The sequence below is a fragment of the Homo sapiens genome, chromosome 18 (genome assembly GCF_000001405.40).
Source record: "Homo sapiens chromosome 18, GRCh38.p14 Primary Assembly".
In the NCBI taxonomy this organism is placed as follows: domain Eukaryota; kingdom Metazoa; phylum Chordata; class Mammalia; order Primates; family Hominidae; genus Homo; species Homo sapiens.
The window spans coordinates 1,220,806-1,237,321 of NC_000018.10; the positions used below are offsets into that span (position 1 = coordinate 1,220,806).

Sequence of the window (16,516 nt, forward strand, 5' to 3'; positions counted from 1 at the left end):
AGTGAAGAATTAAAAATAGCTGAATTTCAGATTCCTTAAATTTCACCAGTTCTATGTTTAAAAAAAAACACACTGGTTAAATAAAAGGCAAAATAAAAACAACAACAACAACAAAAACACAACTTAAGAATTATCAACCGATGCTTTTTTATTTTAATTAAATTGTTGGCCAAGTTTTCTTTTTTTTCTATGCAATGCCCATAGGCGACTGTTACAGCTAATGTCCATGTTTGTTTCACTTTTTAGTTAGCTGTTACCGAGAGCAGTTGTTATCGAAGTTCTCCAGAGACCACTGGGCCCCCAAGACCCTTTGAAGAGTACATAAGGTCACAATTATAATAATACTAAGCTGCTTCTTGCCTTGTTTGCTCTTATTATCTCCCAAGTGTACAGTGGAGTTTCCCAGAGGCTGTGTGATGCATGCTATTACAACAGATTAAACGCCGAAGCAGAGACGAGATCCAGTTGCATCTACTAAATCAGAGATTTGTAAAAAAAAGAACAACGCTACTTTTGATACTGAACATTTTTTGTTTGAGAATAAAGTTATATTTCATGAGAAGTATGCTGTTTATAAGAACATAAAATGTATAATGGGTTTAATTATTTTTAAGTTAAAAACATTTTAAAATGTATTGATTTTAATTTTTAATATTTCAATATCAATAGATACAACCTACATAAACAAAAGCTCTATGGGCCCTTAAAATTTTTTTAAGAGTATGAAAGGGTCCTGAGATAAAAGTTTGAAATCTTTTGACTTAAAATATTGGAAATTGGGGTGTGTCATATAATATCTTTATACCTATGCGTAACATTTTCAAAACAGTTACTCATTTTCCAGTCTAAGTGGATTGTCCCTGCCTTCTGCATGCCAAACTGAGGTCATCTAGGCTTGATACCTTTCCTTCTACAAACATTAACTCACATGGGCTAGGTGGAACTCCCTGAGGGCAGGAACCATGGAGTCTGACACTGATAGTTATTGAATGAATAAATAAGTTGATGTCATTCAAAGTACAGCATGCAATACAACAGTTCTGAACTTTTTAAAAAATAGTAACTCTAAAAATAATAAATACATACATAAAATCCCCGATCTTGGTTAAAGCCAACTGCTTCCTGTGACACAACGCCCTACCAGACAGCTGACATGGCTGGAGAAAGGCACACAAGAATGCTGACTAGTCCCATTTGAAATTTATGAGAATTAATTTGAATTGTGTCCTCAAGGGAACCTGGCAATCATATTATATTTCCTTAGATGACTATTAAATACCTTCTCCTGTCTCCTCAAACATGCAACATCTGTTCCCCTATCCCTACTCTCAGCTGATGACTCAGTTTCCTATTTCACCACAACTATTATCTACAAGTCCCTTCTCTTCTCTACTCTGTACCATAGACAGAGTGATTGTACCCCACTAAGGCCAATGCCTCCACTAGAGCCCATTCCTCTTGCTTACTCAAGGACATCCTCCAGAAATTCCTCCTTGATAATTGTCTCCACCAAAAATTCCTATTAGCATAAAAATCAGCTGAGATTCCTCCAATATTAAATTTTCTTTTCTCCTGGTCCCATCCCTGACCAGTTATAACTCCACCTTTCTGTCCCCCTTTATAATGTAACTTCCTTCAAGGTTGTTGATATTTACCACTTCCGATTCGTTTCCTCTCCTTTTCTCTTAACCTCTCTTCAGGCAGGCTTTTCTCCTATTTTTTTTTTTTTTTATCAGTATCACAGTGACATCCACACTGCTAAATCTGATGGTTAATTCTCAGCTCTCCTCTTACTTGACCTTTCGGATATACTTGACACAACTGATAACAATTCATCCAAGAATAAAGAAACTTGTCCTAACTTAAAAACCCTCACAAGTCTGGGATATTTGGGCTTTCCTTCATCTGTATACCTTAGGCGTTTAATTTACATTAGATACATGAATAATAATAAACAGTATCACTAAAATATGTTGAAACATTACTATCAATATTAACAATTGTGCTATAAATTGATATCCTCAAAACCTCTTGGTTCAAAAAGTAAATAGATTTATCTGTGGATATAATGTCCTGAGAGCATTATTTATTTATTGGATTGCACCATATTCACTTTTTAAAAAAACTCCATGAGAAAAGGGCTGAGTGGTCTCAGCATCAAGATTAATTGTGCATCTCCTGAGAAATTACTTTGATTTTGTCGTGTGGTCCCTGTGAATTGTGTACCTAACCAGGTTTACTTTTTTTAAAAAAAAAGTCTCCTTAGAATCAAATTAACAGCTCGATCATTAACTAATAAGTAACTTATTAGGTTAAACATATTGTGATCACTGTAAGCTGCAATCTATGTCTCATATTTTATTTATTCTTTCATTGCCATTATCAACTGCTATAATTTTGGTATATTTTCTATATTCTCACAAACCACCTTTTATTCATTCCAGAATAAGGCAGGGTATAAATAAATAGCCAAGCCACTAAATAAATGCATATGCACATACATATATACGCACAAACATAAACAGAACAGACTAAAAGGGAAAATGTCTGAAGATTAAAGATGGCTCGTCTGTGTTTCAGTGTCAAAGAAAAATCTGAGAGAAGGTTGCGAAAATTGGTATCAGTAGGAAACGAGAATGGCATTTGTTACTTATTTTCCAGGGTCAGTTCAAAAATAAGGAGGATACTTCTTTAAGAGATTTCTGAACACAAATATATTAGATTGCCTGACAAAGGTTCTTGAAATCAAAGAACTGATATATTATTCAAACAACTAAAATATAAGTAATCATAAATATACATGATCTTTCTAGTTATACTATTTTTGCTTTTCTACCAAAGTCTGAGTTAAATCTATGAAGCACAAAAATTATAGCAACTGAATTGGACCAAACTGCAAGACAAAATTTTAGTGTGGACATGACTTATTTCACTTTGTTTCACATGGTTATCCAGCCTTTTTGTCTTTTTTTATAGGAAAAGATCCACTCTGTCATCAGATGAGCCAGAGGGAGTCAGAAAAGGATTAGACATCTGAAAGACAGATAGGGATGAAACGCCTTTCCTATGCAAATTTATTATTTAGTGCTAGTTGTTTTGGTGACTAATTTTGTTCTGTTTTGTTAAATAATTATACTGTATGATTTCCAGTCTGCAAACGAGTTTTCTGAGGCTCTGGGCAAATGAGGTACATTGGAGCACATAGAGAAAGAGAGGAGGGGTGTCAGCTGCCTGCCATAGCTGATGGCAAGAAAACATCATTTATACCAGGAATTGGAACAGAGTTAGTTTCTCTGTATTGAGTTACCCATTTTTCAAGCCATATGTTAGTAAGTGAAGGATTTTCAGCTTTTCAGCCTAAGATCCCAGGTTAGAGAACAATGATTCCCAAGCACAATCGAAAACTACACACAATACTTACCCTTCTCTTAAAATTCAATAGTTTTAGTCCCCACTTTATGTTTCATAATGAAGTGAAACAGAGGCACTATGCATGTCTTAAAATGTATACAAACTGGTATCAACTTTATAAAATATATTCCTGTGTAATAACATTTCATAAATCTTGGGTAAATTTTATCTCTAAAAATGTAAAGTTTGGGACTTACACATGGTGTTTTCCAGTCCTCATCATACATCATACATCTTCATCCTTTAAATGAAAGTTCCATGGAAACAATGGACTGGAGTGGGTTTTGTTTTTCCTCCCAGGAATTACAAAAAGAAAAATACATTATTAGCTTGTAGCTCATTTGACCGCAGGATAAAAAGTGAAACCATTTTCAAGAAGCAGCTGATAAAGGACTAGACTCATTAAAGTGAATTCAGAGGCTCATGGCTAAGTGGTAAAATATTTCAAAGGATCAAATTTAATAAACTAATAAGAAAGCTCAACGACTGCCATCTGTACTGTGCACCAATTTAATTCAATGTTGCACACGTGGTAAACCTCTTAGCCCAACACTTGACAGTATAATTACCTCATTAAAGAAAGCATGTAAGTGTAGTGTAGAAATCTTGGTGGACTCAGGTTTTCCTAAGGAAATAAAAGCTTTATAGAATCTATTTTCCACTTGATAAAAGAACATTTAAGCTTAAAAATGTCACCAGGTTTTTTGGAGGGGAATGCAAAGGAACTCTTTTTTGGGTGGGGGTAATAAAAGCATATATATATATATATATATATATATATATATATGGAATTAGAAAAACATGACTATGTTTAGGTTTGTCTTATTCCCTACTGTTTGTTTTATTCCCTCTGCTACTATAACAGTAGCAGTTTCAAGCTTTGCTTTCCTTATGGAGTAAAACATATATTAACATAAAATAGAATAAAAGGATTCAGTTAACACTGAAATGAAAACATCCTCCAGGTAAGGGAATCTCAACACCTGTTGCACATTAGAATCACTTGGGAACCTTTCAAAATTACTGATGCCTGCATCTCATCCCCAAGATTCTGGTTTTATATGATGTAGGAACCACATTTAGATATCAGTACTTTTAAAAAGATTTCCAGATTACTGTAATATATAACCGGGGGGTGAGAAATCACTGCTCTAAGTCACGATGTCATGTGCTGGAGCACTTTTGAGAGTAAAAGAAGCCCCGCAAATACACCTGGATTAAAGAGTAAACTGCCACTGTCATGGGCAAACTAGGACGTAGGGTCACCTACCTCATTTCCAATGCTAAATATATCTACAGTGTTTCTGATAAGAGATAGTTCAGTCTTCACATTATTAGCTACACAAAAGAAAATTCCATATCTCCCAAGACAACATCTCATATCCTTTGACAGTTAGAATATACTCTCTATCAGTTCTACCCATTATTTCCTGAGTTCACCCGTAAGGGATTAACTCCTCTTCCAGAGACAGGCCCTTAAGATATTTGAAGATGTGTGTTAATGTTCCCTCCTTAGCATTTTCTCTTCTGAAGCCAAAATTTTCACCTCCTGATTAAATACTCTTCAGTTTCTCAGGACTTGTCTCATGTTATAATTTTGAGTATTTTATTTTTATTTTTATTTTTTGAGATGGAGTCTCACTGTGTTGCCCAGGCTGGAGTGCAATGGCGCGATCTCAGCTCACTGCAAGCACCACCTCCCGGGTTCAAGTGATTCTCCTGCCTCAGCCTCCCGAGTAGCTGGGATTACAGGCACCCACCACCGCGCCCAGCTAATTTTTGTATTTTTAGTAGAGACAGCGTTTTGTTATGTTGGCTAGGCTGGTTTCAAACTGCTGACCTCAAGTGATCCACCTGCCTCAGCCTCCAAAGAGTTTTCTTATCTTTATGGTTGCTCCCATATGAAGATTTTCAAGTTTGTTTATTGCATCTTATAAGGCAGAGCCAATGTAAGGATCCTGTAATGATTATTATTTGATATATAATAATATATACACAACATTTAAGTAAAGATTTGTTAGAAGAATAAAGGCTGTATTATTATTTGAGCTGCTCAAACCTCTTCTCCACCAGCCAGCAGAATTGTAGACACCCTAATAAATAGGCCTTATGGCTATGAGGAAGAAAAGGGCTCATTAGTTTGTAACTTGTTTATCCTCAGGGATGCCTAAGGCAATTTTCATGCCAACCAGAGCTCCTTGCAAATACTGACTGATGGAATTTACTAGCAAAAGGATGAATGAGAGACCTGAGGAGTTGCTCTGTAGTAATTTCTTATCTAGGACTGCTTTTAGCTGCATATATCTGGTCTGTCTACATTTTTAAAAATAAATTATTCTATAATTTATGGGCTGCCACTAGACTGAATAATAGATAGTTATTTGATTAAACAGGGCTATGGAGTTGCAAAACATAAAATGTAAGAGATCCCAAAACTCAAAAGACTTCCCTCTACCAGCTTGCCTTCTATGCAGTTAGCATTACTTATCCCCAAACTAAACTGCATCCAAGTGCTGCAAAAGAAGCTCAAAGAACGATGTCTGAAAGAGTCAGGTCTCCTAGATATCTTGTTGCTCGTGTTTGTTTTTTGTTTGTTTGTTTGTTTGTTTGTTTTTGAGACAGAGTTTCGTTCTCGTTGCCCAGGCTGGAGTGCAATGGCGCCATCTCGGCTCACTGCAACCTCGGCCTCCCGGGTTCAAGCGATTCTCCTGCCTCAGCCTCTAGTAAAACTCAGTGCTCTGTCATTTCCTGTATGTCTAACAGTTTTAATCTTTGGGACTTCAGTTTTGCTTCATTCCGAGGGTACCGTTTTAGGCTCTTATTGACCATTCTGAACAGCGTGCTGTCTTTTCTTTGGTTCAAGTTTCTCTGGCTAACCTCTTTAATGTTTCCTTTTAAATGAAAACTTGGCTTTCGTTTCCAACTTTCCCTCTGGGCATGGCTCTTTTTGGAAAAAAAAAAAGCTTTATTGAGATATAGTTCACATACCAAACAATTCACCCATTTAAAGTGTACAATTCAGTGCCTTTTAGTATGTTCAGAGTTGTGTCATCATCACCACAATCTAATTTTAGAACATTATGTCACCCCAGAAAGAAATCCTGTACCCACTCCTCCACCTTCCACCCACCAACTCCACCCGCTGCCCAACATAGCAACAACGAATCTACTTTCTGCTTGTATAGGTTTGCCTATTCTGGATTTTCATATAAATGGAATCACACATTTGTGACTAGTTGATTTCACTTAGCATTATGTTTTCAAGGTTCATTCCAGTTGTAGCCCATATCAGTACTTCATTCCTTTTTATTGCTTAATAACATTTCATAGTATAGACCTACTACATTTTATTTATTTATCCATTAATCAGTGATGAACACTTGGCTTGTTTCTTCTTTTTGGCTCTTCTTTTTGGTTATTAGGAATAATACTGCCGTACACATTCATGTACCAGTTTTTGTGTGGATATACATTTACATTTCTCTTGGGTGTATACCTAGGAGTGAAATTGAGGGACCACATGGTAATTCCATGTTTCACATTTGAGAACTGCCTAGCTGTGCTTTCAAGCATGTGCACCATTTACATTCCCACCAGTTTATGAAGGTTACAATTTCTCACATACTCACCAACACTTTTTTTATTTGTCCTTTATTATTATTGTTGTTGTATCTCAGTGTGATTTTCATTTACATTTCCCTAATGGCTAATAAGGTTGAGCATTATTTCTGGTTCTTACTGGCTCTTTATGTAAGAGCCAATGTCTTGAAAAATGTCTTTTCAGATCCTTTGTTCACTTTTAATTTTGTTGTCTTTTTATTATTGAGATGTAAGAGTTATAAGAATTTATTCATATTGTGGATACATGTAACTTATCAAATATATAATTTGCAAATATTTTGTTTCATTCTGTGGTTGTCTTTTTCCTTTCCTGATAGTGTCCTTGGAAGTATAAAAGTTTTTAATATTATTGCAACTCAATGTTTCAACTTTTTATTTTGTTTTTACACTTTTGGGGTCATATCTCAGAAGGTTTTCTTAATCCAAGGTTATTAAGATTCACTCCTCTCTTTTCTTCAGAGTTTTACAGTTTTAGATCTTACATATAAGTCTACAATTTACATGAAGTTAATTTTTGTGAAGAGTGTAAGGAATGAATCCTTCTTCATCATTTTGCTTGTGGATATCCAGTTGTCCCAGCACCATTCTTTCCTGCATTAAATTGTCCTGGAATCCTTGTTGACAATTTATTAATCTTAAATGTAGGAGTTTATTTATGGACTCTGAATTATATACCATTGATGTGTATGTGTATATTTATGCCAATACCACATTGTCTTGACTATTGTACTTTTCTAGTACATTTTGAAACCAGGGAGTGTGAGTCCTCCAACTTTTTTCTTCTTTCTCAAGATTGTTTGGACTATTCTGGTTTCTTTCATTTCCAGATGAATTTAGGATCAGCTTGCCAATTTCTGCACAGTAAAAGCCAGGGCGACAGCTACAATTTTGATAGGGATTGTGATGAGTCTGGAATCTGTAGATCAATTTGGGGACTACTGCAATCTTAACTATCATGAGATTTTTGATCCATAAATGTGGGATGTGCTCCTTTTACTTAGGCATTCCTTAATTTCTCTCATCAATATTTTTTAGTTTTCAGTGCACAAGTTTTGCACTTTTTTGGTTAAATTTATTCCTAAGTATTTATTAGTTTTAATGCTGTTGTAAATGTTAATGTTGTTAATTTTATTTTAGAATTGTCCATTGCCAGTATAGAGATATGCAACTGATTTTTGTACATTGATCTTATACCTTGCAATCTTGCTGAATTCACTTATTAGTTATAAAAGCTTTTAGTGTATTCTCTAGTATTTTCTATACACTAGGTCATGTCATCTGCAAATAGAAATTGTCTTACTTCTTCTTTCCCAATTGGGATGGCATTATTATTATTATTATTATTGTTGTTATTATTATTATTTTACTTCTTCCTTCCCAATTGGGATGACTTTTTTCTACATAATTGCCCTAATTAGACTATCCAGGTGCAATGTTGGATAGAAGTGGTGAGAGTGGACATTCTTGCCTTGTCTCTGATCTTATCTGGAAAGCATTCAGCTTCACCATTAAGTATAATGTAAGCTGTGGGATTTTTGTAGATGCCTTTTCAGGCTAAGGAAGTTTTCTTCTATTTCTAATCTGATGAATTTTTTTCATAAAAGGCCACTGGATTATGTCAAATGCCTTTTCTGTGTCCCCTTAGATGATTACATGGTTCTTTTTTTATTACATGCATATGGTAGATTACATTAATTGATTTTCAGATGCAAAACCAACCTTACATTCCTTAGACAAATTCCCCTTGATCATGGTACATAGTTCCTTTTAAATATTGCTTTTATTTGCTAATATTTTCTTGTGGATTTTTTTGCCTATATTCTTAAGCGATATTGGTATGTAGTCTTCCTTTTTATGATTTATTTGTCGGTTTTTGGGTATCAGGGTAATTCTAGACTCATAGAATAAGTGAAAATGTGCTCCCTCATATTTTTCAGAAGAGCTGTTGAGTAATTGATACTAATTCTTCTTTAAATTAATAGTTTACTAATTGTTACTAATAATTGACTAATAAATAAATGATTATTAATTTAACAATAATTTACTACATGACTAGTAAATCTGGGCTTGGCTATTTTCTTTAGGAACATTTTTAATGACTAATTAAATATATTTGCTTAGTGAGTATGTATTTAAATTTTCTATTTCTTCTTGTGTAAGTTTCATTAGTTTGTGTCCAAGAGTTTTCCTATTTCATTTCAGTTAGTGAATTTGTTGGCATACATTTGTTTGTAGTATTCCCTTGACATCTTTAATTATTTCTGTAAGGTTGGTAGTAATGTCTCCTTTTTAGTCCTGATTTTAGTGACATGAGACTTCTCTCTTTTTTTCTTGGTCAGTTTAGCTAAAGATTTTTCCATTTTGTTGATCTTTTTGAAGAGCCAACTTTTGGTTTGGTTAATTTTTCTCCATTGTTTTCCTCTTTCTGTTTCATTAATTTCCATTGTAATCTTTACTGTTTTTTGTTTTTCTTTCATCATTGTCTTAGAAGAATTTGTGTTGATTATTTTAAGGTAGATATTTACAGCTAAAAATTTCCCTCTATGACTGCTTTAACTACGTAAGTACTGATATTTAAAAACATTTTATTAATCTCAAAGAATTTTCTAATTTAATTTGTGACTTTTAAAATTCAACCTATTGCTTATGTAAGAGTGTGTTGTTCAATTTCCAAGTATGTTTGAGTTTTCCAAATTTCTTTATTGATTTCTATTTTACTCAATTGTGGTTGGAGAACACTTTTGTTATTCTTTTAAATTTATTGAGGTTTATTTGTTGCTTTATGTCCTAGCACATGGTCTGTACTAGAGAATTTTTCATGTACTCTTGAAAAAAATGTACATTCTGCTTTCTCTGGTAGTGTCTGTAGAGGTAGTCTATATGTAGTGTTTATGGATGTAGACTATAGATAACCCTAATTGTTTTACTGTTTTTCAAGTTTTGTATATTCCTGTTGATTTTCTTCCTAGCTGATATATTCTGTTTTTATTCTTTTCTTTTCTTTTCTTTTTTTTTTTTTTTTTTTTGAGATGGAGTCTCACTCTGTCGCCCAGGCTGGAGTGCAGCGGCATGATCTTGGCTCACTGCAACCTCTGCCTCCTGGGTTCAAATGATTCTCCTGCCTCAGCCTCCCAAGTAGCTGGGATTACAGGTGCCTGCCACCACACCCGGCTAACTTTTTTGTATTTTTAGTAGAGACAGGGTTTCACCATATTAGCCTGGATGGTCTCTATCTCCTGACCTCATGGTCTACCTGCCTCCGCCTCCCAAAGTGGTGGGATTACAGGCATGAGCCACCACACCCACCCTCTAGCTGACATATTCTTTAAAGTGAGATCATTGAAGTCTTCAACTATTATTGTTGAATTGTTTTTTCCCCCCCTCTATTCTGTTAACTTTTGCTTTGTGCATTTAGGGATGTCTTCTTTCAGGTACAAGCTTTTTTATGTGTGATATATTGTCATTCAGCTTTCTTATCATTGCAGTTTATATGTATCTCCTTGTCCATCCTTTTACTTTCAATCTGTTTGGATGGAGTTTTTATGGGGTCTTTTTTGTTGATGTTGTTGTTGTTGCTTTCTGTTTGTTTGTTCTTCTTATAACAGGCAGGTCCCTGTTTTGCAGGTCTGCTGCAGTTTTCTGGGGGGTCTACTCTAGACCATGTTCACCTGGGTATTGAGTTGATTTTTGTATATGGTGGAAGGAAGAGGCCCAGTTTCAATTTTCTGCATATGGCTAGCCAGTAATCCCAGCACCATTTATTGAATAGGGGGGTCCATCCTCCATTGCTCGTTTTTGTCAGCTTGGTCGAAGATCAGATGGTTGTAGGTGTGTGGCTTTATTTCTGGGCTCTCTATTCTGTTCCATTGATCTATATGCCTGTTTTTGTACCAGTACCATGTTGTTTTGGTTACTATAGCCCTGTAGTATAGTTTGAAGTTGGGTAACATGATGCCTCCAGCTTTGGTCTTTTAGCTTAGGATTGCCTTGGCTATTCAGGCTCTTTAAAAATTGCATACGAATTTGAAAATAGTGTTTTTAAATTATGTGAATAATTTCAATGGTAGTTTGATAGGAATAGCATTAGATCTATAAATTGCTTTGGGCAATATGGCCATTTTAATGATGTTGATTTTTCCTTTCCATGAGCATGGAATGTTTTCCCATTTGATTGTGTCATCTCTGATTTCTCTGAGCAGTGTTTTGTAATTATCATTGTAGAGATCTTTCACCTCCCTAGTTAGCTGTATTTCTAGGTATTTTATTCTTCTTGTAGCAGTTGTGAATGGGATTTCATTCCTGATTTGGCGCTCAGGTTGGCTGTTGTTGGTTTATAGGAATGCTAGTTATTTTTGTACATAAATTTTGTATCCTGAGACTTTGCTGTAGTTTTTTTTTTCCCAATACTTCTAGTTCTGGGATGCATGTGCAGAATGTGCAGGTTTGTTACATAGATGTACATGTGCCATTATGGTTTGCTGCATCCATCAACCCGTCATCTACATTAAGTATTTCTCCTAATGCTATCCCTCCCCTAGCCCTCCATCTGCCAATAGGCTCTGGTCTGTGATGTTCCCCTTCCTGTGTCCAAGTGTTCTCATTATTCAACTCCCACTTATGAGTGAGAATATGCAGTGTTTGGTTTTCTGTTATTGTGTTAGTTTGCTGAGGATAATGGTTTCCAGCTTCATCCATGTCCCTGCAAAGGACATGAACTCATCCTTTTTTATGGCTGCATAGTATTCCATGGTGTATATGTGCCACATTTTCTTTATCCAATGTATCATTGCTGTAGTTGTCTAACAGCTTAAGGATTTTTTATTTGCTATGGAATTTTCTAGATATAGAATCACGTAGTCTGCAAACAGCGATAGTTTGACTTCCTATTTTGATGCCTGTCTTCCTATTTTGATGCCATTTACTTCATTCTCTTGTCTGATTTCTCTGGTCAGGACTTCTAATACCATATTGAATAGGAGTGTTGAGAGAGAACATCCTCATCTTGTGTCAGTTTTTGCCCATTAAGTATGTTGTTAGGTGTGGGTTTGTCATAGATGGCTTTTATTATTTTGAGGTATGTTTCTTCAATACCTAGTTTATTAGAGTTTTTAACATAAAGGGATGTTGAATTTTATTAAAAGCTTTTTTGCATCTATTGAGATAATTGTGTAGTTTTTGTATTGAATTCTGTTTTTGTGATGAATCACATTTATTGATTTGTGTATGTTGAACCAACCTTGCATTACCAGGGATAAAGCCCACTTGATCATGTTGGATTAGCTTTTAGATGTGCAGCTGGATTTGGTTTGCTAGTATTTTGTTGAGGATTTTTGCATCAATGCTCATCAAAGATGTTGACCTGAAGTTTTCTTTTTTTGTTGTTTATCTGAAAGGTTTTGGTATTAGGATAATGAAAGCCTCATTGAATGAATTGGGAGAGCATCCCTCCTCTTCAATTTTTTGGAATAGTTTCAGTAGGAGTGGTACCAGCTCTTCTTTGTACATGTGCTAGAATCTGCTAGAATCTGGTCATGGGCTTATTTTGGTTGGTAGGCTATTACTGATTCAAGTTTGGAGCTTGTTATTGTCTGTTCAGGGATTCAGTTTCTTCCTGGTTCAGTCTTGGGAAGGTGTATGTTTCCAGGAGTTTGTCCATTTCTGTTAGATTTTCTAGTTTGTTTGCATAGAAGTGTTTATAGTAGTCTCTGATAGTTATTTATGTATTTTTTGAAGTCAGTGGTAACATCCTCTTTGTCATTTCTAATTGTGTTATTTTTGGATCTTCTCTCTTTTTTATTAGTCTAGCTAGCCTTATATCTTATTAATTTTTTTCAAAAAAAACCAACTCCTGGATTTATTGATCTTTTGAATGGTTGTCTGAGTCTCAATCTCCTTCAGTTCAGCTCTGACTTTGGTTACTTCTTGTCTTCTGCTAGCTTTGGGATTAGTATGCTCATTATTCTCTGGTTCTTTTTGTTGTGATGTTACGTTGCCAATTTGTGATCTTTGTAACTTTCTGATATGGGCACTTAGTGTTACAAATTTCTCTCTTAATTCTGCCTTAGCTGTGTGGCAGAGATTCTGGTATGGTTTATCTTTGTTCTCTTTAGTTTCAAAGAATTTCTTAATTTTTGCCTTAATTTCATTATTTACCCCAAAGTCATTCAGAAGTAGGTTGTAAATTTCTATGCAATTGCATGGTTTTGAGCAATTTTCTTAGTCTTGATTTCTATTTTTATTGTGCTGTTGTCCAGGAGAGTGGTTGGTATGATTTTGGTTCTTTTAGATTTGCTGAAGAATGTTTTATGTCCAATTGGGTGGTCGATTTTATAGTATGTGCCTTGCAGTGATGAGAAGAATGTATATTCTGTTGTTTTTGGGTGCAGAGTTTTGCGGATTTCTATCAGGTCCATTTTGTCCAGTATTGAGGTCAGGTCCTGAATGTGTTTATTAATTTTCTGCCTCAGTGATTTGTGTAATACTGTCAATGGGGTTGTGTGGCAGTCTAAGTCTCTCTGATAGTTTCTAAGAACTTGCTTTATGAATCTGGATGCTCCTGTGTTGAGTGCACATATATTTAGGATAGTCACATCTTCTTGTTAAATTGCAGCCTTTACCACTGTGTAATGCCCTTCTTTGTCTTTTTTGATCTTTTTTGGTTTAATGTCTGCTTTGTGTAAAATTAGGATTGCAACCATTGTTTTTTTTTTTTTCTCTTTTCCATTTGCTTCTTAGAGTTTCCTCCAATGCTTTATTTTGATCCTATAGATATCATTGCAAGTCAGATGGGTCTCTTGAAGACAGCATACCATTGGGTCTTGCTTCTTTATCCAGCTTGCCACGCTGTGCCTTTTAATTGGGGCATTTAGTCCATTTAAATTCAAGGTTAGTATTGATATGTGTGGATTTGATCCTATCATTATGTTGTTTTCTGGTTGTTATGCAGATTTGTTTGTGTGGTTGCTTTACAGTATCACTGGTCTGTGTACTTAAGTGAATTTTTGTAGTGGCTGGTAATAATATTTCCTTTCCATATTTAGTGCTTCTTTCAGGAGCTCTTGTAAGGCAGGTCTGGTGGTAATGAGTTCCCGTAACATTTGCTTGTCTATAAAGAATCTTATGTCTTCTTCACTTATGTTTAGTTTGACTGGATACAAAATTCTGTGTTGGAATTTCTTCTTTAAGAATGTTGAATATAGGACCTTGATATCTTCTCACTTGTGGGGTTTCTGCTGAGAGGTCCACTGTTAGTCTGATGTGCTTCTCTTTGTAGGTGACATGATCTTTCGTTCTAGATGCCATTAACTTTTTTTTTCTGACCTTGGGGAATCTGATGATTATATGTCTTGGGGCTGATCTTCTTGTGAAGTATTTTGCAGGTGTTTTTCACATTTCCTGGTTAAATCTGGCTTCTCTAGCTAGGTTGGGGAGGTTCTCATGGATGATAACCTGAAATATATTGTCTAAATTGCTTCTATTCTCCCTATCTCTTTCAGGGACACCAGTGATTCATAGATTTGGCCTCTTTTTATAATCCCATATTACTCAGAAGTTTTGTTCATTCTTATTCTTCTGCTTCTTTGTACTAAATTAGTGTTTTCTAGATTATATATGTTACAAACCTAATGATATATTGTTATAATTATTACTTTGTACAACTTTATGTCCTTTAAAGAAGCTGAGAAAAGAAAGAAGAGCAATTAAATATTTATGCCTTGTTATATTAACCTTTTTAGTTCTCTTCATTTGTTCCAGTGAATTCCAGGTACTATTGGTATCATTTAATTATTCCAATACTGTTTTGCTCTAATTCACCTTATTTGTGATATTTTCTAATATATCACATTTCTATGTGTTACAGGCCCAATAATACAGTTATATACATATTATTCATATGATTGCTTTTAAGTCAGTTAAGAAATTTGCAAATATAGTTTTTAAAAATAATTACATAAACAAGTACTTTTACTGGCACTCTATTTTATCATGTGGACTTGAACTATGGTCTGAGTTCACTTTCATTTAGAACTTTAATGTTTGTTACAAGGAATATCTGCTTACAACAAATTCTGTCCATTTTTGTTTATTTGAAGATGCTTTTATTTCACTGTCATTTTTTAAAGTTAGTTTTCTTGGATATATGATTATTTCTCGACAGGGTTTTTTTTTCCTTTCAATTTATTACTTTACTTTGAATTTGACTTTCCACTGCCTCTGTCCTCCATTGTTTCTAATGAGAAGTCAGCTGCAAATATTTCAAAGCAAATATTAAATATTAATATTAAATATTACAGTTTACTTGAAGTGATGGGTTGTTTTTCTCTTGCTGTTCTCAGAATTTTCTCTTTGCCATTGTCTTTCAACATTTTGAACATAATTTTCTGGATGTGAATATCTTTTGCATTTATCCTACTTGAAGTTTCCTGAGCTCCTTGGATTTGCAGATTAATATTTGTTTTTTATTAAATGTAGAAAGTTACCAGCCACTATATCTCCATTATGTCTTTAAATATTTTTGTACCCCTTTCTTCCTCTCCTCTCCTTCCTGTAGTCCTACTATATCTATGTTGTTGCACTAAACGTTGTCTGACATTTCTTTGAAACTCTGTTCATTTCTATTCGTTCTGTTTTTTCATATTCTTCATATTTCATATTCTCTAATAATCAGTCTTCAACATCACACATTCTTTTGCCAGTTCAAACATACCATTGAGCCCCTCTATTAAATTATTAACTTCGTTTATTGTAGTTTTCAACTTGAGAATTTTCACTTAGTTTTTAAAAAAGTAATTTATTTCCTTCTTTATTGACATTCTTTACATGATGAAACATTGTCATCATACCTTTTTCTTTTTAAGGCACGGTTTCCTTTAGTTCCTTGAACATATTTTTAATATTTGCTTTGAAATTTGTCTGCTGAGTCTAACGTGTAGATTCTCTCAAAGGCAGGTACTATTGCCTTTTTAAATTTTCTCTACAATTTACAGTTTTTACTTCTATGCACATCTCATAATTTTTTGTTGAAAACTGGCCATTTTATATAATATTGAACTCTGAATACCTATTCTTTCTTTCTTGGGGCTATGGGTTGTTGTTATTTTGTTTGCTTGTTTATTTGTTTAGTTACTTAGTTGGAGTACTTTAGTGAATTTCATTTCCCCCCCAGTGTGCATTCCCTGATGTCAGTTCAGGAGGGGAATCTTGGGCATATACATATACATCTTAGGATGAAAGTTCTTTTAAAAAGGCAATTTTTTACTATCTCTTTCTCTGATATCTCTAGTAAGCTACATATTTCTGTTAGCGTCACACTGAGTGGTTAGCCTCCATTAACTGGTGGCTGATCATGTTATTATTTCCATTAATTCCCTGGACATAAGTTGCTCCATAGTCTGATCCAATTAAATTTGGGCCCCTTTGCCAGGTTAATCTTTGAAGCCAGCCTGTGAGGTTTGTTCCAACCCAACAACTATCTCTTTCCCTG

General features: G+C 34.6%; 1 long non-coding RNA gene across 1 annotated transcript in view, besides 1 other annotated feature; it reads left to right on the forward strand.

Moving 5' to 3' along the window:
* The window catches only part of LOC105371953 (uncharacterized), a 155,413-nt gene that overhangs the window by 121,801 nt on the left and 17,096 nt on the right, over positions 1-16,516 (forward strand). The gene's annotated exons all lie outside the window — the stretch shown is intronic.
* Positions 6,269-6,469: a silencer, noted in NCBI's record as "peak3040 fragment used in MPRA reporter construct". NCBI's record gives its function as "represses an SCP1 promoter by STARR-seq MPRAs in K562 erythroleukemia cells {active_cell/tissue: K562}" and the evidence as "EXISTENCE:reporter gene assay evidence [ECO:0000049][PMID:32103011]".